The following is a 1,212-nucleotide window of genomic DNA, read 5'->3' as shown; positions in this document are numbered from 1 at the left end:
TGATATGTGAGTTTTCCTGCCATTCTGCTTACCTCTTACAGCAAGAGATAATTCCAGCTTGGTCAATTGTGTCTTGCCTATTTCCTTTCCTAACATTCAAGAAACTCCTTCTTAACCACTTAAGTGCTTGGACTCTTGCAACAGAGAATCAGGACAAAGTAGGAGAACAGTATTAGGTTGGTGCAAAGGTAATTGCGGTTTTTGCCATTACCTTCGATAGCAAAAACTGCAAGTACCTTTGCACCAACCTAATAGTTCAAGGGACTATTCTACTATAAGGCAAGGGACACATGGTGGCAAAAGCTAGAAGAATATTTTCTTCTTGATGTTTAGCACCTTTTTTCAAAGGTTTAAATTCATTAGAGTACATAATTTAAATATAATTAAATGCACCCATTTTAAGTGTATAACAAAATGAGTTTTGACAAATGTATATGCCTAAGCTACCGTCAGCCCAAATGTAATATAAAACACTTCAAGCATCCCACTATGACCTCTCAAGCACATTGAAGTTCTAGCCTCAAGTAATCATTGATGCGTTTCCTGTTACTGTAGGTTCGTTTTGCCTATTCTGAAATTTCATATTGGTGGAATCATAAAACATATTCTCATATGCATCTGTATTCTTTCACTCAGCATGATATTTTTGAGATTAATTCAGGTTTTATAGTGTTTCAGTAGTTCTTTTTTTGGTAAGACAAATAACATTTACTATAGAAAATAACTATTTTTTTAAATAGTGGGGTAAGTAACTGCACTGCATCTGGCAGAAGGCAGGCCCTTAAGTAAGATTAGCCTTTCTTTTTATCCCAACCAAGCCAAGAAGACCTCATCCTTCAAAGTTCATTCATTTTTATTGAAGAGTAATAGTTTATTGCAACACAGTGAAAAGGTAACCTACAGAAAGAGAGAAAAATATTTGCAAACTATATATCCTATGTTGATTAATTCCCAAAATATCTAAGTAATGCCTACAACTCAATGGCATAATGGTTAATTTCCAAAATATCTAAGGAACTCCTACAACTCAATGGTTTAAAAAACATAATAACTCAATTTTTAAATGCGCTAAAGACTCATCTAGATATTTGTCTAAAGAAGACATACAAATGGCCAATAGGTAGATGAAAAAATGATCAATGTCACTAATCATCGGGGAAAAGAAATCAAAACCACAAGATATCACCTGACACCTGGTGGAATGACTCTAAT

Source organism: Homo sapiens, chromosome 5 (genome assembly GCF_000001405.40).
Source record: "Homo sapiens chromosome 5, GRCh38.p14 Primary Assembly".
Lineage (NCBI taxonomy): Eukaryota > Metazoa > Chordata > Mammalia > Primates > Hominidae > Homo > Homo sapiens.
This window is presented reverse-complemented; position numbering follows the sequence as displayed.